This window comes from Homo sapiens, chromosome 6, assembly GCF_000001405.40.
Source record: "Homo sapiens chromosome 6, GRCh38.p14 Primary Assembly".
Taxonomy (NCBI): Eukaryota; Metazoa; Chordata; class Mammalia; order Primates; family Hominidae; genus Homo; species Homo sapiens.
Window position 1 is genome coordinate 103879851 of NC_000006.12, and position 25919 is coordinate 103905769.

A 25919-nucleotide genomic window follows, 5' to 3' on the forward strand; every position below is an offset into this window, starting at 1 on the left:
GTGTGGTGGTCTGGGATTCAATATGTGAGGTTGGGGGCCTGTTAGCAGGAAACCTTCTTGCTTTACTGAGAGTTTTTCTATCTGTTCACCCATTAAAACCCTGCTCTACTCACCCTTCAATGTGTCGATGTGCCTAAGTTTTCCTGGTCACGTGACAAGAACCTAGGTTTTAGCTGAACTAAGGAGTAAAATTCTGCAACAATATCTTATTGTGGCTTTGATTTGCATTTATCTAATGATTTGCAATGTTGAGCATTTTTTCATATATTTGTTGGCCATATATACGTCTTTTGAGAAGTGTCTGTTCATGTTGTTTGCCCATTTTTTAATGGGGTTGTTTTCTTCTTTGTTGAATTATGAAAGTTCCCTATAGATTGCAGATATTAGATCTTTGTGAGATGCATAGTTTGCAAAATTTGTCCCATTCTATAGGTTGCCTATTTACTCTTTTGATAGTTTATTTTGCTGTGCAGAAGCTCTTCAGTTTAATTAGGTCACACTTAACAATTTTTGTTTTTGTTTCAATTGCTTTCAGGGACTTACATAAGTTATTTACCAAGGCCAATATCCAGAATTGTATTTCCTATGTTTTCTTCTAGACTTTTTATAGTTTTATGTCTTATATTTTGTCTTTATCCATCTTGAGTTAATTTTTGTGTATTATGTAAGGAAGAAGTCCAGTTTCAATCTTCTGCATAACAGTTTTATTGGTATTTGTTTTCTAATAATTGTAGTTACCACATCCCAATAGTTTATTGTAGTATGCTTTAAACAAACTGAGAGAACAAGGAATAGAGGTGAGAACTAATGAAAAATAGAGGTAAGAATTATAATCTCTGTGTAACAATGTAGAGTAAATCTTGGCAGATACATAATTTTACATCAGGAAACTAATATCTAACTTGTATATTAGTAAAATTACTTTTGATAATTTACACTTTTTTCAACAAAATAGCTTATTTTTCTGGTTATATGAATAATACATACACATTATGAAATGGTAAGTAATTATATATATATATATATAAAAGTACAGGAAAGAGCATAAGTTATCTGATATCTCACATTTGCACTGAGCTAAATACCATTATTATTTTGTGACTAATCTTTCATAAATTTCAGTTGATTCTTTACTTTGGAGTTTTTTCTATTAGGAGATAATGTGAAGCACAATAAATATATTGCAAACATATAAATAATACTTAATGTTCCAAAATGATTTACTATACAATTTCTATAGAACATGATTTATTTAATCTTTGGGGATCTAAAATGCATTTTTTACTGGATACAATAAAAGGAGCGTTTTATTTTGTCTTGTGTTCTACAAAACAAGTTCTTATTAACAAGCAGTATGAACTGGAAAATTTATGCAAAAAGGAATTTGTTGGAAAAATATTTGGGGCAGAGAGGTGCTAGAGACAAGACGCTGAATTGACAGAAAACTGGAGGATCAGGCTTGGAACTAAGCAGGACTGGGCATCTAAAATACACATAGGCATTAAGAATCCCAGCAAGTGTCTCCCTGTCTGAAAGCCTAGAGGGGAGGTTGAAGGAAGGGGAGGGGGACAATTGCCAACCAATCATTCTCAGACTTGCAGTAACTGCTTGAGATCCAAATACCTGGAAAAGAGCTCCAGATTAATCTTCCATGATGGAAGATGGCCTGTTGAATTACCATCCTAGAAAGTCTACACACAGTAAGGAATAGTTATTTACCCACTAGGAAATGAGATACTGTGTCCGGAATTTACTCCTTCTGGTGGGTTCTTGGTCTCACTGACTTCAAGAATGAAGCTGCAGACCTCACAGTGACTGTTACAGCTCTTAAAGGTAGTGCAGACCCAAAGAGCGAGCAGCAGCAAGATTTATTATGAAGAGCGAAAGAACAAATCTTCCACAGCATGGAAGGGGACCCAAGCTGGTTGCTGCTGCTGGTTCGGGTGGCCAGCTTTTATTCCCTTATTTGGCCCCACCCATGTCCTGCTGATTGGTCCATTTTACAGAGCACTGATTGTTGCATTTACAATCCTTTCGCTAGACACAGAGCGCTGATTGCTGCGTTTTTACAGAGTGCTGATTGGTGCATTTTCAATCCTTTAGCTAGACACAGAGTATTGATTGGTGCATTTACAATCCTCTAGCTAGACAGAAAAGTTCTTTAAGTCCCCACTCGAACCAGGAAGTCTAGCTGGCTTCACCTCTCAATACAATCAGGAAGAGATAACAGATTCTGCACAACTAAAAAATGTCAAATCGCCTTAGCAATGCCCAACAAATATTTGTTTTCTATATCTCCTTTTGTGACTTCATAAGAAACCATGCATTTAATAATTTTGATAACATTGGATTTTAACATAAATGACATGACACTCATATTTTTTTTAGTAAAAAATAAAAAATTATAGACACAAAATGTAAAACAACTTTTATGAAACTTAGCCCAAGTCTAAGAGTATGAATACTGACTTTATTTCATGCAAGGACCTAGCTCAGGAAGTTTCTCAACTCTTGGTTACATTCATTTTTGCTTTCTTAGTCACTTAATTCTCTACCTTGCTCTATTACCAACTGCTTAAATACTCCGTAACCCTCCTGTTACTATTGAATCTTCTCTTTCCTATGTTTTATTTGAATTATTTGTTTTCTGCAAAAGTCATACTTTAGTAATTGCTTTTGAGTTTCAGTCTCTATATGTCTCCTAACTGTCAAGACAAAAAGACACCTGAATAAAACAATGACAAAAAAAATAAAAAATATTTTGGAAGGTAACTGAGGAATATTTATCCTTGATAAGTCCTCCCAAATATAAATGCTGCTTTTTAAACAATGACTCTGTTGTACAATTTAAATCCCCCTAGGTCATGACTCAATTTGTCTCTAAGACCTTTCCTCTCATAGAATTTTCTGAAAGGTGGAGATAATTGTAGAAAGCTCTACCCTTCATCCAAATGTTTATTTCAGATAAGTTCCTCTCTGAAAAAGGGAGAGAATACACTTTCTCTCTATTCCAAAAAAACAAAAATGTCTGCTTTCCTCCAAAGTATATACTTTCCTTGAGCATTCAGGTACAGACCATGCCAGTGCCCAGCAAATTCTTATAAACAAAAATCTCACCAAAGTTCTCTGGTTTTTCCTTGTATATTAGGATTCCCCCAGTCTGTGCCACTAGCACAGATGAATTGAGCCCTGGAAATCCATGACTTAGTAACACACATGCCTCCCCTTCTAAGTGCTACAGAATTTCTTTTTTGATGGAACCTCTCATACCTTAAAGGAATTATAAAATGTTATTAAATGTTTATTTATCTCCTCTGATTCAAGCAGAGAAAGACATTGATGACATTAAACCTGGCCTCAGAAGCATCTAGCAGAAATATTAGCTTCTGTGGATATATCTTTATTTTTAAACCCTGAATTGGGAAGAGATGTTGGAGTAGGAGTTTAATATCTATCCTACTGTCTGTGGAGATGAGATTTTGAAACTACTCTCATACAGAAACATTGTGACTATTACACCTTGCTTGGGCTTAAACTGACACAGATACAGACACACACGGAACACACCAACACACACACAAACACACACACACACAAACTCTATCAGGAATAGACATAGGAGTCAAACATATGGAGATCAAAATAGCAGCTTTATTATTTATAAAGCTGAGTTGGAGAACACCGTAGCTGTGTTCAAAAACAGACTTACTAACATGCTGTCTATAAATCTAGACCTTAGGACACCATATCCAAGAGAGTTCAAAAGATAGATAGATCAGACACATTTGCAAAATTATTCAATGCTTCATCCCCACTAGCCCTGATATTGTAGCCTTGCTACTAAATGTTGCCTGTCATTAAGCAGCATGAACATCAACTTCTGACCCCAACTAAGACCTCCTGAATCAGAGCCTGTGTGTCAGCAAAGTCCATGGGGGATATGAATATACATTAAAGTGTGAGAAGTGCTGCTCCAGATGGTGAGAGATGGGCTTCCAGTGTTTCCCAAATATTCTCAGGACCCTTCTTTGGAGATTCTGAAACAGCAAGATGGGTCTTGAAAATCTGCATTTTAAAAATCACTCCAGATCATTGTTATTATCTTGGGAGTTTGGAAAGAATAAATTGGTGCTTCTGAAATGTTAATGGTATACAAACCACCTCAGGGTTTTGTTAAAAAGTAGGTCCTGATTCAATAGGTCTAGGATCAGCCCTGATATTCTAATTTCTTCTTTTCCTGTAATTGCAGTCTCAATATGTTGCACAGCCTGGTCTCGAACTCGTGGCCTCAAGTGATCCTTCTGCCTCAGTCTTCTCAGTTGTTTGGGATTGCAGGCATGAGCCACTATGCCCAGCACTCTGAGATTCTGATTTCTAAGAAACTTACAGATGATAATATTGATGCTCATCCACCAACTGTGTTTTGACAGGTGGGGATACTCACTACTATACTAACGAGGAAGACAAATCACATTTCATATAGAGTTATGCTTCTTCCCTAGCAGCAGGAGCCCAGCAAACCTTTTATATAGATTGTGGGCAGGCCCAAGAGAGCTAGGGACAAGGTAGAACCACACATGCTCAGCAAAATATCCTCTACTGAATACATGCTTCACTTCTGCTCCGCAAATGAACAGGTCAACAGGGCTCAGGAGAGGGGCAGAACTTATCTTCCCAATACTGTTACCACTTGGGGAGTGAAATGGAAACACTTTAGAAATATAAGGCTTAGGAGAACAGGGTTCTGGACTCCCAGGCCCAACAACTCACTGATGTTACTGGTCTCTCAGGGGACAAGGCAAACAGTGAGATAGGCACCTTGAGGGCCGCCTCCAGCACCAACCTACTGCTCACTGCTGGTGAGCATTGCCCTTTGCCTCAACATGCTTCTGGAACCAGACCAGAGCAGTTCACGAGTCAAATAGGTCCAACCACGCAGGAGGCTCAGCCTCCTCCCCAACTCATTTTTCATCTTAAATTAGACTCAGCCACTTTGCAAACACAGCTCACCCAAGGTAATGTATTGAGTCTATATATTATTGTAAATATACAATAGTAAAAATACCCACAAATACAATAATAGCAATAGCAATATGTCCCAAATTTGAATATTAACCTTCCATCCTTTAATTTTTAGAGAAAAATTAAAATCCAAAGATTAACTCACTTTTCCTCATAAAGATCAAAGTAAATTCTGAATTACAAAGTTAACATTAAAGATAAAGGAATTTCCAGCCAGTCATGGTGGCTCATGCCTGTAATCCCAGCACTTTGGGAGGCCGAGGAAGTCAGATCACCTGAGGTCAGGAGTTCGAGACCAGCCTGGCCAACATGGTGAAACCCCGTCACTACTAAAAATATGAAAATTCGCCGGGCGTGGAGGCATGTGCCTGTAATTGCAGCTACTGGAGGGGCTGAGGCAGGAGAATCGTTTGAACCTGGGAGGTGGAGGTTGCAGTGAGTTGAGATCACACCACTGCACTCCAGCCTGGGCAACAGAGTGAGACTCAGTCTCAAAAAATAAAAATAAAATTAAAAAAAGACACAATTTTCCCTAACTTCTTGAGCCCCATCACTTTAGACCCACTGAATTGAAACCTCTGAGGACTGAGCCAGAAAATTTGCATTTTGAACAAGTCCTGTGAGGATGGTGAAATTTTGGGCTGGGAACCACACTAGAAATACTGCATTAGAGGGAGCCAAAATGGTTTACCTAACAAAACTTGAGAGCCTTTCTTTTAAGGCAAAACAAACAAAAGCAGAAGCTATGCTTTTAGTGACATGAGGATTTACTGGAACTAAGAGCTTTCCCTTTCTTAATGACCTAATTCCTCCCTCAACCATGCTGCTTCCTTCAGTCAGCAGCAAAGCCCCATTCATGGCACCCAGGCCTGTGCTGAACGAAAAATAAATCCATCACCAATGAACAATGGCTTCCACTTCTGTAACTGGAAAAAGTTGATCTAAATCAAATGCATTAAACTTTTTAGTTTAGTTGCTAAGTGAATGCTTGGGTCCATTTCAAAAGGTTATCTAGCTCATGCACCTTCTTCTGGGTTTTACAGATGCTAATAAATCAGACCTCTATTCATATATATGATTTGAAATCACATGGGAAACAATAATTTTTAATACTGATGTGACAAAGCTGGAATAGAAAATGCAATCTAGATTCATAGGGAAAATAGGATTTCTAACACACACACATACCTCTTCCCAAATCCACTGGAGGTAGAATCTTCCTCATATCTGTTGAGCATCAAGGGCTGGAACAAAAAGAAAGCTACGCTCCTACCCTGCCTCTACATGGCCCTGGAACATTCCCCTAGGGTCACTGATTAGAGCCCATCAGAACAGGAGCAAAAGAAGGTTACTACCTTGTACATGTGGATAAATGGGAGAGCAGTGCCTTTCTCTCAATATCAATTAAATGAGCAAATTATTCATTTGCCCAAGAGAAGAGTAAAGAAGTCAGATTACTTTCTCCATATCTCCTCCCCTCCTAGGAAGGTTAGTGAAAATTCTTTCATGGAAATAGGAGGAAAGAGTAGAAGAGTTCTAACACGTCTTTTTTTTTTTTTTTTTTCGGAGCCTCACTGTTGCCCAGGCTGGAGTGCAGTGGCGCAATCTCGGCTCACTGCAACCTCCGCCTCCTGGGTTCAAGCGATGCTCCTTCCTCAGCTTCCTTAGTAGCTGGGACTACAGGCGCCTGCCACCACGGCCAGCTAATTTGTGTACTTTTAATAGAGACGGGGTTTCACCATGTTGGCCAGGCTGGTCTCGATCTCTTGACCTCGTGATCCACCTGCCTCAGCCTCCCAAAGTGCTGGGATTACAGGATTGCGTCACCGCGCCCAGCCCTAACACTTCTCAAGAAGCAAGAGAGGGTTAGAGGGATGTGTGTATTTTTAAACCAGAGCAGCAATTAGTCCCCTTGGTTTGATTACATTTTAGTGACTCATGTATTTTGTTAATTGATTTAACCCTAAAACAAAGACATGGGGTTTATTAATCTGTTTTGAAAAAAAGTAAGGCTTTATTTTCATCTTAATGAGCCAGTCTTTTGTCCATAACCCCTCTTAAGCTCAGTTTGTAGCCACCCAGCAATGCCACATATTAGAGAGGGAGCGTTAGCCATCACTAAGCCAAACATGACCCATTCTTCACTCTTGAACATAATTGGTTCAAGGGTTGGTGTCTTGTTCAAGCTGGATGAAGTTTGCTCCCCATAAAAACTGAAAATTAAAACTTGATATCAGACTTAATCTGGTTCTAATCTTCAAAGGGAGGTGTTAGTCACCATATTACAACAGGAAAATTTGATCTGTATTGAGAAAGAATAAAGTAGACACAGAGATGAGTAGATGGAGAAGGCATTCCAGATCTTTATCTAATGTCAACTGAAGAATCACAAGGTTCATCAATTTGAAATGGAAAGCTTTATTTCTCATAAAGGGTTGCAACCTGCAGTCTGGCCATTTCATAGGCTGGGAATCATAGCATCTGGCAGAAGCCGAGATTAAACACCTGAAGGAAGGGGTAAATTCCCTCCTTCAAGAAGGAAGGAGAATTTATGCTGAGCATGGTGGCCAAATATACATATTTAATAGACTATAGGAGAAATCATGAATATTTATAAAAGGAGAAACATGCACACCTACATCTGAGATTCATGCCCTTTCATGGGTGGCATGTTCAAAACATGGCAGCGTTAGCATAATCTAAGGGCAGAGTTTGGGGCACACTAATGTTGAAAGGTGAAGCAGAGGACATGAAAACCCTCAGTGCGCAACTGCGCATCCTCCACAGACTGGCCAGAAGCACTCTGTTTTTCGTGGTCTCTTACCAGGAAGGAAAACGCTGGTCAGTTGCTCTATGGAGACAAAAATGGGGTGCAGCAATCTGGCAGTTGGCTGAAATCAGCGGTAGCGTGAGTCTTTCAAAAGGACTGTGTTTTTAACCCTTAGGCAAGAAAGCCTGATGTCAGTGAGCAAGGGACAAAGTGTGATGAGGTGTGTTAACCTCTCGACCTGTGAGGCTGGAAACTCAGTCTTAAGGTTTCTCTGGGGTCCCTTGGCCAAGAGAGGGTTTATGCAGTCAGTTAGGAGACTTCGGATTTTATTTTTATTTCTCACTAATTTTTTTCTGAGATCTGGGTGCATCCTTGCTCTTGGTTTTCATGTAACACCTATAACATTTACCTTAAATAAGCCAGTTTCTCTTACTTGAAATAATAAGAACACCCCGATACACCTACTTTCAAATGCTTCCGCCTCTGCGTCCTCCTGTTTCCCAAGCTTCTCCAAGCACATGTGCATAAGCTGCTTGATATCCCTATGTGATTATGACGTCTCTCTCCCTTACTGTCACTCTATTGCTTCTGGTTCATTATTTGTTTCTTTTTAAAATAAGGCAGAGGTTATAATAATTTCTTAAAGGATTTATTTTTTCATCGCAATTCTTTTTAAGATAATACATAATGCAGAAAAATGTTAGACAAAAATACATGATATTTTATTATGTTCAATTCAGTCAGCCCTCACATATGAAAAATAGGCTCTGTTCTAGAAATTGGAAAGATAAAAGGGAAATTGCAATCGAATTGTGAGGACAAGTGGATACAAAATATAGGCAAACTAACAAGCATAGTACAACAGAATGAATATTATAAATAAACTTTGAACACAACGCTACCACAAAGTAGAAAAGAGAATGCCGAATTCTACTTTGAGAGACTGAATAAGACATCACTGAGGAGGTTAAATTTGTTCTAGGGCTTGAAGTGGAGGTAATTGTATAAATACAGTTACAAATCATGGAACGTGCATAACTCATTAAAGAAATGCTGGCTGCACCTAATGCTAAATAGTTGGACTGAAGCCAACTTGTTAAAGTCCCTAGTAGTGTGATGATTTCACATTCCTGAGGCAAGGAGAAGGCATTAAAGGTTCTAAAAGACAGGAATAATACCATCATACCTATGTTTTAGAAAAATAACTCCCAGAGGAATGTGAAACGTGATTATTTACGTGTGCTATTCAGAGAAGCGACTTTAGTTTAAAGGCTTTTGTAGTAATCATGGTAAAAGATAAGTCTCACCTAAGTTTAGAGGGATTAAGGTGAAAGATGGATCAAGAAACATTTTGGAGGTTGAATTGGGAGACTGATTTATAAGACCCACTGATTAGAAAGGCATTGGTGTCTAGAGGAAGAGAGGGCTCAAAAAATATATAGTGGTACCATCAGAACAAACAAGGTCACATTCCCCCGTATGAAGGCGTGCTTTTAGCAGATCTGCCACTCTTAGCAGGATAAAGATGTCGATAGAAACAGACATGGAGATAGAGAGATAGATGGTATACATACAAATGTAGATACAGATATAGACATAGAGGAAGACAAAGATATAGTTGTTATTGCATAACACTTTGATAAAGCACTGAAAATTTCGGCAAATGGCTTAGGTACCAATATTTTTCACCAACTGCAGAAATTTCTACCTGAACTTAAGCAATTCATTCCTGTGACTAGACTTATATGTATCTGTTTGGAAGCATACCTATAATGCAAGGTAGTGGGTAAAATAAATAGATATATAAGAATATATATATAAATAATATATAAATATATGAGTATATACATATGAATAAATATATAAATATATATAAGAATATATATGATAAATAAAAATATATATTTGTCTATATATAGGGAAATATATATATATATATATATATATATGGAACATATCTTGTAAACAATCTAATAGAAATACAGGCTTTTGTTAGTTGAAATTATTTTACTTGGAACACTTAGGTCTCAAAATACTACAAACATAAAGGGAAAGGCTTGACTTTCCTATAGTCGTTTAACAGGCATAGTACCTGTAATTACTGAAATGTTACCTCTAAAGTTTTCATAAGGAAATGTAGTCACATATTTCCTCAACATATTTAAGGCAAGTGGAAAAATAAAAATATATGGAAATTATATTGTATAGTAAATACACTGTTCATCAGAGCAAATTTACAGACTACTGTTAATCTGTGGCATTTATGCTGATTTCCCCTTCATTAAAATTAATGAAGCAAACTGTCTTTTCTGTGTAGGAGGCAAACACAAAATAAGTTATATTTTCTGACCTTGAAAGTACCAAACAAGTTTGGTAAGTCTCCTAGGAGTATCAGTACAGGCCTCATGCTCTTCTGCTGTTTAAGATTAATTGTATCATGTGATTTCCTCAAAGTAGCCTTATGAAAAGGAAACACTGCATTTTCATCTTTCTGTTTTATACAGAGGGCAAAAAATCCTTATATCCCCATGAATAAATAGTTTATCTTCTTCATGTTTTATTTCTTTTAATTATGGAGAAATTTGATTTTTATCTAATACAACTAATATAAAGTGTTATGAAATCTAAGATTGTACTTTGGTATTCAGAAGAACTGGAGTTAGAACACTGTGTAATTTAGTTGGTTTTTGAAAATGTCTGTTCGCATCAGCTATAACCAAAGAATAATAATGGTTTCCAAGGGTTGACTTGAGGACTAAATTTAAAAAGTGTGTGTCAGTCCAGTATAGAACAATGATGTTGGACCAATTACATAACCTGTTGAGATCTGAAATTTATTGATATATTCAACTATATTTATTGGGTGCCCACTATGTGTAGGCCATGGTGGTAAGCTCAGAGAACACAGTGATGTGTCACAGTGTTTACTGTTGTTGAGGGAGACAGTCAATGTAAGAGTCAATTACAATGTAGCTTACTAAATACCAGTATAAGATAAATCATCGGTACTGCAGGAAAGCAGAGGTGGAAGTCAGGAAATGCCTCCTAGAACTGAACAGGTGGTATGTAGAAGTTAGCTACATGAGGAAAGGACAGAAACCAACAATAATGTTGGCAGAGGAAGAACTTTCATAAAAGCCAAGAGGTTCAAGCCGGGCGCAGTGGCTCACGTCTATAATCCCAGCACTTTGGGAGGCTGAGGCTGGCGGATCACGAATTCAGGAGATCGAGACCATCCTGGCTAACATGGTGAAACCCCGTCTCTACTAAAAATACAAAAAAATTAGCCGGGTGTGCTGGTGGGCGCCTGTAGTCCCAGCTACTCGGGAGGCTGAGGCAGGAGAATGGCGTGAACCCGGGAGACGGAGTTTGCAATGAGCCGAGATCACGCCACTGCACTCCAGCCTGGGTGACAGAGCGAGACTCCGTCTCAAAAAAAAAAAAAAAAAAGCCAAGAGGTTCTTACCTCCTGGGAAGGACACGATAGAGGAAATGGGGATAAAATGGGGTCATTTTGGCTGGAAGAGTTTGTGTGACAAGGGGAATATTAAGCGAAGAGGAGGGAAGTAGAAAGGACCAGATCAGAAGGGCCTTCTGAAACCTGTATAGGGGTTGAAACTTCATCTTAAGACAAGAAGAGTCATAAAATTGTTTACATGAGAAAGTCACATCATTGGATATGAGAAAGTTTGAGGAAGTTGAAGATAATCGCCAAAGGTCACTGAAGTGATAGATGGTGGTATTGGATCTGAATGAAGAAAATGAAGATAGAAGACAGCTAAAGTTAGGAGAAAACGGAAGATTTAAGCACCGGAAGATTGATATTGAAAGCCAAGTGTACAGAGTGAAACAGGGAAACCATGGAAACTAGAGGAGGTTGTCTTCAGAGAGCAGTTCTGATGCACTACTTTGGTGGAGAAGTCATTTCAATTGATCAGAGGAGCTGGAGTGTGGCCCAAGGGAGCAAGTAGTTGAACAGAAGTTGAGGTGGTCATAGCTAGGATTTGGAAGCAAGCTGTAAGGTAGTATAAAGGTAGTAAAGTTGCCTGGAGTTGCTAGGGCATCTTGCTATCATTTCTTTCATACAATTTTCCCCATGCAGGTGTTTTGTTTTTGTTTGCTGGTGGTTAGTTGTCACGGCAAATTCTGAAATTCAGAACTGATTCAGATCATAATCCCAGTTAACAATAAATTGCTACTTGCTCCCAGTTTATATCTTTCCCATGAGAAGTGTGGGAGGAGAAGATGTTCCTCCAGAAAGCGTAATCAAGGTACTCCTGCGTCTCCTGTCTTCATGCCATCACTTTATTTTAAAAGCTTCTAATTCTACAACATTAACCAACGAACAAAAATAAACACTTGTGAATCAAGTGTTTTTCAGATAAAGATAATCAAAGTAGTGGTGAACCCAGGGAGTTAAGGCATTAGAAAGAGGAAAAGATTCTTTTTAATTAGAACTTGAGATCATCTAGCATCTCAGTGTTTTATTATTATGTTATACAGGTATAACAAAAATAGAGCAATGTCTCATTAGCTGAACACAAATATATCTTATTACTGTATAGGAAAGTGATATTTAAAATCCAAAGCAAAGAGCCTGATTTATTTTTTCCTTTCCAAGAGAAAATGTCTACATGGTAAATACAAACTACTCGATTGAATATAATGGTATAAAACCATATATGTCAATATTATCCACATTTATAACAGATTAAATAGAATAACTAGAATAAGCCCTAAATAGAGAATGGGAAAAATTGAGTCCTTCTCCTAGAAAAGGACAAAAAGCAAATGTATTCTAATCAAAGTGACTTTATATACCATTGCTCCTTAATGTGTTACTGCATTTTGGTATGAAATATTTCCAAAGAGTATACTTGTCAGAAAGTCATCTTATATCTTCAGGGGAGCAAATGATCCATGTCGTAAGTTAGAGTTAAGCGTTCATATATTTTTGTTACATAGTATGCACCATGCAACAAAAATATTTCTCCTCTGTAAGAACATTTTCATCTGATCAATAAATATTTTGGATAAGGTACACCATGATAGGTACTGTTCTGGAAACCATCCATGAGGTAAGGATGGGGAATGGAGGTAAACTTAGTATTGACCCAACTCTAAAGGCTATCCCAGATGAAACAACCTATATATTTATGTGCTATTCCCAGAGGGTAACCAACACTAGACATAAATAAAAACTAAATTGTTAGCCAAGCAAAGACGCTAAGCAAGGCAGATGCACAAAAATTAAAACAATTAAGGCAAAATCCCAAATAACCAGCATGAACCTGGTTATTTACATTTTGTTATAAATTGTGCCAATCAGGATGAATCAAACTCAGTGGAAAACTGCTAACCTTAACTCTCCTAAATTTAGAAGGTCATGGCTGGTTTATTGCATAATTAGAGAGGTATCATTAATCTTAATAGCTTCTATTGCTTTTCTCTCTACCCAGAATATTCAAATCAGTTAGTCAGATAAAAGAAATGAGGATCTTGTCTTTCTCAGAGAAGTCTAGTCACACAAGGGAAACCAGTGCAATACCTTTGTGTTCTCAACTCCATAGCAGGAAACTGAAACATGCTTTACTTATGCAAGCTGCTCACGCAAGGCAGTATCCAGGCCACGAAGATTAGATTATTGTAACTCCCTGTTGGCTGACTTGTTCCATAAGGCCTTACATAAACTCCAGCTGGTGAAGGACAATGCTGCCAGGTTCCCTCTGAAAAGGGCAGAATTAATCAAAATATATTCCTCCCTATCTGAAATCCCAATGTTAGCAATTGGTTAAAAAATAAAGTAGTGTCCTGATTTTCAAATTACTCTTTTAATTCAAGGAGTAATATCTGGCCCAACTCCAATGTGCTTTTTACAGTCTCTTAGCAATTTATGTTTCCTGGCCAGCTTCTGAATTCTGCTGAAGAAAATCTACTTCATGTCCCAAGACCATTTCAGGGCTTTATGGAACATGGGTATTTCTATAATCTTAACCATGTGGAGTTCTGCTTTGATTACAATGCATTAGGTTTAAAATACATTGATTTAGATAAAACTTTATAGCAAGTATTCCTCAGAACAATATACAATGGTGTAATTGTATTTCTCATTACCCACAGGTAATTAGACATTTTCTTTACAGATTGGGACTTCAAATAATATTTCATCTATACATTCCAAGTCATTGAGCTAAAACCAATTACTTGGAGTGTATGGATCAAATATTCTTTAAAGAGGTATCAGTTAGCTAGCATGCAGAAGCATACACATGGGGACACATACACCCACAAGCTATTTATATTTCCAAGCTCTAAATGCAACAGAGAGTTATAGGAATTTTTGCAATCAAGTCTGCTCCCTTGGTGAGTAGCCAAATCAAACTTTACTAACTGAAAGCAAAACAAATTAAAAATGGTATAAGAATTTTGGGTATATAACAATACAGCCAAGTGTGTAATGTTTATTAATCAGAGCTGAAGATATAGGTAAAAAACTTTGTAACACTTGGCTGGGCGCAGTGGCTCACACCTGTAATCCCAGCACTTTGGGAGGCCAAAGTGGACAGATCACTTGAGGTCAGGATTTCGTTGGAGACCAGCCTGGCCAACATAGTTAAACTCTGTCTCCACTAAAAATACAAAAATTAGCCAGGCGTGGTGGTGGGCACTTTTAATGCCAGCTACTGGGGAGGCTGAGGAAGGAGAATTGCTTGAACCCAGGAGGCAGAGTCTGCAATGAGCTAAGACCTTGCCACTACAGCGGAGCCTGGGCGACAGAAGGAGACTCTGTCTCAAAAAAAAAAGAAAGAAAAAAATGTTGAAATACAAAAAAGTCAACGAAAACTTGATCTATTCACACTGAGAATTCTAAGAAAGTCCAAAGACTATTCCAGAACTAGAGGCCTGCTGAGTCTCTTCAGTGGAACAGTTTCCATTCAAATTTCTTTCCAAGAGGCCATCAGTCCAGAAGACTTGAATAGACATTTAAAATTTTAAAAGCTTTCCCTAATATGAGAGGGAATACGAAGTTACTCCTTCAATATTCCGTTGTCAGTAGAGCCAACGATGTTCTTTCTTGGATTTATGATAAAAATGAACAAATAATGACAACATTGGCATCAACTTAAGGCCAAAGATAAGGATCCACCATCTATTGAAAACCTATTTTATGTATAATGTTCCGCTAAGCACTTTATATGCATTATCTTATTTACGCTTTATAACAAACTTGCAAGGTATATGTCATTATTTTGCTACTTTGTTTTCATCCTTTACTAAGTCAAATTGTAAACATAAAAATATATTAGGAAAAATCAGCATAATTAAATATTTTCTGCAATACATAAAACTAATCATTAATTTATAATATCATATGCTATTAATATTTTGAACAAGTAGGCAGATTCCAGAAACAAGTCCAAACTTGTAGAAAGCAACCAGTCAAGCATAATTTTTTTTAACTTTTCATCTTTGCTCTGAAGGCAGCAACACTTGCAGGAGGGTGCAGAGTGGCTACAGCCTCAGGAATTAGCTAGATATCTTTCTAGGTTAAAGAACATGGGAAAGAAGCTTGTAGCAACCAGCACTGCCAGAGAGTAGTGGTGGAGATAGGTATGAGGAGGGAAACTCAGAAAAAAAAAAATGAGCCAAGAAGGGGAGTCAAATGACTAAAAAAAAATGAGTCAGGTATATATTTGACCCATGTGTTTCTGTTCCTCAATTACACATTTACCAGTCGGACTTCATGCAGTCTGAAGTGAGACTTTAATTACCATGTACCCTAAGCTGAGAGTTTATAATTGGAGTCTATCCAATGCAATTGCCTGCTAAATCAAAAATATCAACACTCTTCAGGAGACTATAGCAGAATCCAGAGTCCTCACAACAAAACGTCACAATACAAAATACAAAATTACTCAACATATGAAGAACCAGGAAAATTGACCTACTCTCAATAGAAACAAAATCAAGAGAGGGTAATCCCAAGATAATAGCAAGTATTGAAATTTTTAGAGAAAAACTTTAGAGTAGCTATTATGATCATGCAAATTAGGCAAAAGAAACTTCATTAATAATGAATCAAAAGTGACTACATTTTAACGGAGAAATAGAAAACATTAAAAAGAACCAAAGTAAATTAAGAACTGAAAAATGCATCTCAAAACACACAAATAACAACACCAGATAAGCCTAATTGTAGAATAATAGAATGGTGATGACAGAGAAATAGAGTGAAATTCACAATGAATTAATAGAGTTTATCCACCTGAGTAGGAGAAAACAAAAATGAAGAAAACATGGACAGAACCTTAGGTAACTGTGACACTATATTGAAATGTCCGACGTAAATATAATTGAAGGTGCAGACGAAGAGGGAGAATGAGGCAGAAGAAGAGAGAGAATGGGGCAGAAAAAAAAGTTTAAAAAATAATGGCTGAACACTTCTTAAATTTGGTTAATGACTTACACACACAGACTCAATAAGCTCAGAACATCCGAAGCAGAATAAATAAGAACAACACATAGGTGTATTCAAACTAAACTACTGAAAACCAATGAGAAAGTGAAAATTTTCATAGTCAGAGAACAATGAAATACTGCATTAAGGGGACAAATATTTGAATGAATAAAGATTTCTCAAAAAGTATTGAGGCCAGAAGACCGTGGTAAATATCTCTAAAGTGGTGGTAAAAAGAAAAAAAGAAAGGAAAGAAAAAGAAAAATGGAAATCCAGAATCTTGTGTCTAGCCAAATAAATTATCCTTCTAGAATAAAGGTGAAATAAAGGTATTTTCAGATAAATAAAAATTAAGAAAATTTTCCATTATACTATGCTATAGAAAATGCTATTAAAAAATTAAAGTTGACAGGCACAGTGGCTCACGCCTGTAATCCCAGCACTTGGGGAGGCCGAGGCAGGCGGATCACGAGTTCAGGAGATACAGACCATCCTGGCTAACACGGTAAAACCCCATCTCTACTAAAAATACAAAAAATTAGCCAGGTGTGGTGGTATGCGCCAGTAGTCCCAGCTACTCAGGAGGCTGAGGCAGGAGAATCACTTGAACCCGGGAGGCAGAGCTTGCAGTGAGCCAAGATCGCACCACTGCACTCCAGCCTGGGTGACAGAGCGAGACTCCATCTCTAAATAAATAAATAAAAATAAAAGTTATTTAGCTGAAAATGAGAGCAGTGTGAAATTCAGTCCTTGAAACACTAATAGAGATCATTGGAAAATTTTGATATGTGAATAAATATAAAAAATATATTTCCTCTTATTTAAATTACATGTGTTGTTGAAACAAAATTTATAGGATCATCTTATGGAATTTATAATGCATGTAGATGTAGTATGCACACCATTTACATTATCAGCGGTGATGGAAGTGGTAAATGAATCTTTAAGGTGCAAAGTTTTTACATTTATGTAAGGTAAATATTAGCTTAAGAGGTAAATTATTAATTTCTAAAGTATTAAGTATTTTAACCTTTCAATTTATTTATTATTATTTTTTAAATAGACTTAATCTTTTAGAGCTGATTTAGGTTCAGAGAAAAATTGTGCTGGGTTCCCTATACCGTCTGTCCCATCACATGCACAGAGCTTCTCTTATTATTAACATCTTGCTTTAGTGTGGTACTTGTGCCACAACTGATGAACCAATATTGATACATTATTATTACCCAAAGTCCATAGTTTTCATTAGAGTTCATTCTTTGTGTTGTACAGTTCTGCGGATTTTGACATATGCATAACATCATATGTTTACATTTATAGTATCATACACAATAGTTTCACTGTCCTAAAAACCCACAGTGCTACACCTATTCATCTTTTCTCCTTCCCCCTGAAATTTTGGAACTAATGATCTTTTTACTGTCTTATAGTTTTGGGTTTTCAGAATATAATAGAGTTGAAATCATACAGAACATAAAGATTTTTCAGCTGACTTCTGATTTAGCAAAATGCACTTAGTGTACCCCAAAATCTTTTGGTGGCTCAATAGTTCATTTTTTAAAATAGATTTTTAGAGCAGTTTTAGGTTCACAGCAAAATTTAGTAAAAAGTTCAGAGATTTACCACATACAGCTCGGCCCTTTAAAAATTACTGAATAACATTCCATTGTACTAATGCATCACAGTTTATTTATCCATGTACTTATTGAATTGTATTAGCTCACAGTGCTGTATGTTAGCAGCCCAGACGTGGCTTAGCTGGATTTTCTGTTAGGGACTTCAAAGTCAAAAATCAAGGTTTTCCCCAGACTGAGTTCTCATCTGGAGATTCAGGGAAAAAAAAATCCACTTACAAGCTTACTAAGATTGTTAGCAAAATATAATTTCTTTGAGTCTTAAGACTGAGGTCCCCTTTCCTTGCTGGCTGGCAGCCATAGATTGGCGTTAGTAGCTGGGGACTTCCCGGGTTCCTTATTACAAGACCTCCACCTCTTCCACACCAGCACTGAGAACTTTTGTCAAATCCTAATCACTCTTTGAATCATTCTGACTTCTCTGTCAGATTTAAAGGGCTTATTTGATTTGGTCAGGCCCACCCAGATAATTTCCCTGTTTTAAGGTCAGTTGATTTGGGATCTTAATTACATCTACAGAATCCCTTTACAGCGACTCTTATATTAGCATTTAACTGAATAATTACTAGAAGGCATGTACATACCAGAGGCTAGGACATTTGTGAGCCATATAAGAATTCTACTAAACACACCATATTAATAGAATAAAATAAGCTATTTCAGTAGATGCAGAAAAGCATTTTAATGCAACATCCATTAAAAATTAAACATATCAAAATAATAATTTTATTTTAATTCAAAATTCATTCACAAATAAAAATTCTCAGTAAATCATGAAATAAAAGGAAATTTATTCAATCTGATGAAGTTTTCAATCTGATAAGGTGTTTCTACACAAACCCTATAGCTAATATTATACTTAACAGCGAAGTTTTGATCTCCAAAAATCAGGAATAAGGAAAAAAATATGGTATTTCTCATTTCAATTAATGTTACGCTAGCATCCCTAATTATTACAATGAGGCAAAAAAAACAGAGAGAGGAAGAGGGAGAGAGAGAGAAAGAGAGAGAGAGATGAAGGAAAGAAGGAAGGAAGGGAGGGAGGGAGGGAGGGAGGAAGGAAGGAAGGAAGGAAGGAAGGAAGGAAGGAAGGAAGGAAGGAAGGAAAGAACGGGGAGAGGGAAGGAGGGAGGGAAGGAAGGAAAGAAAGGAAGGAAAGGAGGGAAATTATTTCCAGTTTTAGATGATATGATCTTAAAAAAAAAAAAGGGAATCCACAAAGTAACCAATAAAAGTAATAATTTAGCAAGGTCACAAAATACAAATGTAACACATATAAAATTTTTATTTTTATAAATAGCAAATAATTGGAAAATATTTTAAAACAATCCTATTTTAATGGCACAAATGAAAGATAAAATATATTACTGGGTCATTGCACTTATTAGGTCTCTAGAAAATTAGGAAATAAAGCATTCTTATTTGGACTGAGCTCTACGCCTTGGAATAAGTCATTTTATTTTGCTGAACTTCTTTTTCATATGCATTGTGGGAAAAATAATATTTACACGTTTACCTTCCTAATAAGAGCACCTTGAGGCATAATGCAGAGTTTCTAGATTCAGTGGAATAAAATCAAAATGATAATTGAAGAGATTGTGAGACTCAGGGGCCAGGGTTACTCACAACGAGGCTGTATGTAGTTACAAATTTTGTAATTTTATATTTCCCAAATGTAAACATTGAAGACACCATGCCTTTACATAGCAATAAATGAAAATCTGTGATATAAAAAGTTATTTTGAGGAAAACTGCTGTTATTTATTTATATTTAGAAATTATTTGAAATAAATATCAAAGAAAACTTGATGACAAATTTAAAGTCATTTCCATGTAGCGAAATGAAACATAAGTATTAAAAAAGCAATGAATTTAGTCATTATGCTTTTTAAAAATATTATAGGACTTCACTTCCACAGGCTGGTGGAATTATCAGTTCAATTTCAATAGATTTCAATAGAGATATATATTATGCTGGCTACTCAACTAGACTAATATCATTTTATAGAGACCTTTCTTTTGCTTTGTGTTCTCTTTGTTATTATACATAAATATCAAATTATCTACTGACAAAATGTATTAAAATTGTCTAGAATTACTTAACAAACATGTAAGCACTGATCTCACAGGATTGTTTTAAAATGAGAAAACATGAATGAAGATACCATTGAACAATAATGTGTATTCTATATATGGTAATTGTCAAATAAATATGACATCCAAGGCCTCTGCTAAGTGCTTGAGCAAAAATTTCAGCATGTCTTCTCAACCATCAGGAATATATGTTTTCTATATTTTCAGATAGGTAGGAAATGAACATATGTTTTGAAGCTTTTGTAACTAATCTTCTACTCATCTTCTCATGCCAAGTAAAATATGGATGGCTGTTGTTGTCAACAAAAATATACTAACATAATTGATTAATGAAGAATTATATAACTCATTACTGGATTATAATTTACAATTTTGTTCTTTTCTATTAAGTTCAATAGAGTTTGCAACATATTTATCATCTATGGCATTAAAAGAGCTTTCTAGAACTTTAAGTTAGATTGAGGTACAGAATACTCACTAGGCTTAGTTTCATTCACCAATAAATGAAGCTGGTTATTATGCAGCTTTATTTGAGGACTGTTTTCTTAGAAGTTTTATGATGATATAAGTTACTTGAGTATAGATTGAGTATAGATTACAATAGAAAGCACCATTTAAAAATAAAATAATTATTAGAAATTCAAAGAGTAGTTTTCTGTTATATGTTAGAAGGCAAAAGATTGAATTTATTCATAAATATAGGTTAATCATCTAGTCAAATCACCATTATTTGACTATGAAGAAATAATCTTTAGTAAATGCTTATTGTAGATCTTTGAATACTAAAATTGCTAATAAGAAACGGAGGACAAAAGATCAATAAAAATTTCTAGAAGAAAACATAATGAAATATTAATAACTTTGGAATACGCAAAGATATATTAGGACACAAAAGATTAAGTGTACAAACTTGATAAATGGTACTTTATTAAAAATAAGAACTTGTGCTCTTCAGAACACATCATTAAAAAAAGCCAAGGAGAAAATACTCTCAATACCACAGTCTGACAAATGACTTGTATATAAAATATACAACTTTTTAACAATTAGGAGACAATTTAAAATGTACAAAATATTTTAAAGGGTGATTCACAATAAAAAATACATGTATGGCCAGGTGTGGTGACTCACACCTGTAATCCTGGGACTTTGAGATGCCAAGGTGGGCACACTTGAGCTCAGGAGTTTGAGACCAGCCTGGGCAACATGGTGAGAACCTATCTCTACAAAAAATACCAAGAAAAACACAAACAAACAAAATTAGCTGGGCCTGGTGGCACATACCTGCAGTCTCAGCTACTTGGGAAACTGAGGTGGGAAGATCGTTTGAGTGAGGTGTGGGTGGTGGGTGCAGAGGTTGCAATGAGCTGAGATTGTGCCACTATGCTCCAGCCTGGGTGACAGAGTAAGATCCTGTCTCAAAAAAGAAAGAAAAGAAAAGAGAAAAGAAAAGAAATACATGTATGGCCAATAAGCACATGGAAAGATTCTCAGCATCATTAATTGTCAATGAAATGCAAATTAAAACTATAATAAGATGCCACTACATAGCCACTAGCATGGCTAAAATTAAAGACTGACTAGTACCAAGTGTTGACAAATAAGAAGTGTAACTGTCATACATTGCTACTGAGAATGTAAAATGACACAACCATTTTACAAAATAGTTCGACAGTTTCTTATAAAATTAACCACATTTTAGCTTTGACCTTGCAGTTCCACTCCTAGGTATGTACCAGATAGAAATAAAACATGTATCTAGACAAAGACTTGTATGTATGACACAACAATTTTACAAAATAGTTTGGCAGTTTTTTATAAAATTAACCACCCTCTTAGCTTTGACCTTGCAGTTCCACTCCTAGGTATGTACCAAATAGAAATAAAAACATATATCTAGATAAAGACTTTTATGTAAATGCTCACAGCAAGTTTATTACCATAGATGGAGCCAATAATATACCTGAAGAGCTTGATATAACGAAACAAATAAATAGTATGATATAACAAAAGAATACTAATCAGCAATAAAAGTGCAGCGTAATAACAGATAAATTTTGAAAACATTTTTCCGAACAAAAAAAGACAGACACGAAAGACGATATACTGCACAATTTTATTTATATAAAATACAAAAACAGGCAAAGTTAATCTGTAGTTACAGACAGCAGACAGACTTGTATTTGGCTGATAGGGAGGACTTACTAAAATAACTATTAGGGAACTTTAGGAGGTGATAAAATATTTCATATCTTGATTATTGTGATGGATATACAACTGTATACATTTGCTAAAATAATACAATAACTGTACTTTTAAACTGGGGACCTTTTATTATATATAACTCATCTTTTGATAAAGATTATTTAAAAAACGAATAGCAAAACAAAGTCAATAATATAGCATAAAATTATAAAAGAAATTATGCTGGTCAAAAAATGAAACATTAACATTTTTCCCAAAATTGTTTGACATATTCTTCCACAGATTCATGGAAATGCCAAGAGTTCAGCCTAGTTTTATAGGCTAGAATTATTTCTTCTTGTTCTCCATGTATAATTTAGAACTATTGCTGAAATCTTCTGTCTTTCTTGACCAAAGTAAATATTTTTGTTGGTTGTGGTCAGTTGAGATGATACTGAGATTTAAAAAAATTATGAGAAATCCAAGTGAAATAGAAAGATACATATTCTTATACTTTCCTACATGGGCATTTGTTCAGTCGTGCCTGTCCTGGAGATCTTGTAGAAAGTCAGTGAAGTAGTAACATAGAGTCAAAGGTCAAGTCGAGATCATTCTCAAAGGCATGAAAAAGTCAAAGGAGACCTGGGGCTAAATGCTTCTGTAGGAAATTTTGTTCACTCCTTCCCATTTTTAAAGTCTTTATTCTCCTCTACCAAAGGAGAGTGACGACAAAGAAGGTCTTCAGGAAGAAGATACAGTCTGGATGTAAGTTCCACTCCCTTTTAAGAGATTAAAGAAAATATTTCATCTAAGAATTTTTTATCATTTCTGTTTCAACACTATAATTGACTTATCCTAGGTCTCTAAAGCAGAGGTTTAACGAGGATCCTGGTAACTAACTTGGTGGAGGGGGAAAAACAATTAAAACAAAAAAAACCTGAAAATTACCTAACACATTATTTTAGTTTTCTATTCAACATAAAATTACCACAAGTTTAGTGGCTTATAAAAATGCATATTTATGATCTCACAGTTTCTGTATATCAGGAATCTGGACACAAGTTAGTTAGGTTCTCTGCCAGGCCGGGTTCTCACCTGGAGGCACAAATGAAGAAAGGCCCCACTTCCAAGCTCACTCATGCCATTGCCAGAATTTATTTCCTTGTGGCCATAAAACTGAGGACCACAGCTTCTTGCTGGCTGTTGGCTAGAGACTGCTCTCAGCAACTTTTCCATAGCTTATTGCCATATAAGCCTACTAACATTGCAGTTCACTTCTTCAAAGACAACAAAGGAAAAAGTCTTCAAAGCAGGTGAAGTCTACCAGCAATATGGAGTCCTTCATATTGTAATGTAATCAAGGGAGTGACATCCCATCACTATTGCCATAATCTGGTGGTTAAAAGCAAGTCACAGCTTCTCTCCACATGCAAGGGGAGGGGATTAAATAAGAAGGTAGAGATCATGAATGTGACTTGAAAGTCTGTCCACTTCAAACATACTGTGTGCTAGGCATGTCTTAACATTGTTTATATTGGCTGGGGCAATGAAAAACATTCAACAAGTGGTAATTATGACTTGAATAAATACACACACACATACATGTACATTTCTTAACGTGTAACAGGGATTATGCCTTAGCATGAAAGTTATTCAGTGTTATGTCCCATCAGTATCTAAACCCAGGATTTTTACCGTCTGCTCCTCTGGCCTCCCTCCTGATGGATCCCTGTTGGTGCCAGGAAGGAATGGGCTGCCTAGGGATTCAGCGAGCTCCCAGCGCCTCCCTACTGTCTCCTACACTCCTGTATTTCACTCACCTCAGCTCTCTAACTTGACTCGGCTCCAGGTGAAGTTGGGAACTTCTCTGTCAAACAGACCTTCAGCTTCTCTTGTAGGGGTATGTGTTCAGGAGAGGAGGGTCTCCCTTTCCCACTTCTGTGGTTGGGGCACTCACAGTATTTGGGGTGTCTCCTGGGTCCTGCAGGAGCAGTCCACTTCCTTCAGAGGGTCTGTGGGTCCTCTCCAGTGTTTTATTGTAGTAGTTTCATAGTTTAAGGTCTGAGATGTAAGTCTTTAATGAATTTTAATTTGATTTTTGTATAAGGTGAGAGATGGGGATGAAGTTTAATTCTTCTGCATATAGATATCCAGTTTTCCCAGCACCATTTATAGAAGAGACTGCCTTTTCCCCAATGTATGTTCTTGGCATCTTTGTTGAAAACAAGTTCACTGTAGGTGTGTGGATGTGTTTCTGGGTTCTCTATTCTGTTCCATTGGCCTATGTGTCTGTTTTTATGCCAGTACCATGCAGTTTGGGCTACTATATCTCAGTCATATAATTTGAAGTCAGGTAATGTGATTCATCCAGTTTTGTTCTTCTTGCTCAGGATATCTTTGGCTATTCTGGGTCGTTTGTAATTCCATATAAACTCTACGATTTTTTTTTCCTTTTCTGTGAAGAATGTCCTTGGTATTTTCATAGGGATTGCATTGAATCTATATACTGCTTTTGGTAGTATCAACATTTTTACAGTGTTGATTCTTCCAATCCATGAACATGGAATATATTTCCATTTTTTGTGTGTGTCTTCTTCAATCTCTGTCATCAGCATTTCATAGTTTTTACCATAGAGATCTTTCACTTCTTTGGTTAACTTAGTTCCTAGTTATTTAATTTTATTTGCAGCTATTATAAATAGGATTACTTCCTTGATTTCTTTTTTCAGACTGTTCACTGCTGGAATATAGAAATGCTATTGGTTTTTGTAGGTTGATGTTCTATGTTGCAACTTTGTTGAATTTATCAGTTCTAATGGTTTTCATGTGGAGTCTTTAGGTTTTTTCATATATAAGATTGTATCATCTGCAAACAAGGAGAATTTGAATTCTTCCTTTCCAATTTTGATTCCCTTTATTTCTTTCTCTTGTCTGTTTGCTCCAGCTAAGTCTACCAGTACTATGTTGAATAATAGTGGTGAAATGGGGCATCCTTGTCTTTTTCCAGATCTTAGAGGAAAGGCTTTTAGTGTTTCCCCATTCAGCATGATACTATGGGTCTGTCATATGTGGCTTTTATTATGTTGAGGCATGTTTTTTCCATACACAATGTTTTGATGGTTTTTATCACAAAGGGATGTAAAATTTTATCAAATGTTTTTTCAGCATCAACTGAAATGATCACATGGCTTGTATCTTTCATTCTTTTGATACAATGTATCACATTGATTGATTTGCATTTGTTGAGCCATCCTTACATCCCTGAGATAAATCCCACTTGGTCATGATGAATGATCTTTTTAATGTTTTGTTTAATTTAGTCTGCTAGTATTTTGTTGAGGATTTTTGCATCAACATTTATCAGGATATTCACCTATAGATATTGACCTTTTCTTTTTTTGATGTGTCTTTGTCGGATTTTGGTATCAGCATAATACTGACCTCATTGAATGAATTTCCCTCCCCCTCTAGGTTTTGGAATAGTCAGAGTGGGATTGGTATTAGTTCTTTTATAAATGCTCATAAAAATTCAGCTATGAAGCCATCAGTTCTTAGGCTTTTTCTTTGCTGGCAGACATTTTATTATGGCTAAGATTAAGTTCAATGTTTCTTTGTTAATTTTCTGTCTGGAAGATATCTCCAATGCTGAAAGTGGGTTGTTGAAGTCTCCAGCTATTATTGTATTAGGTCTATCTCCCTCTTTAGCTCTAATAGTATTTGCTTTATATGTCTGGGGGATACAGTATTGAGTGCATAT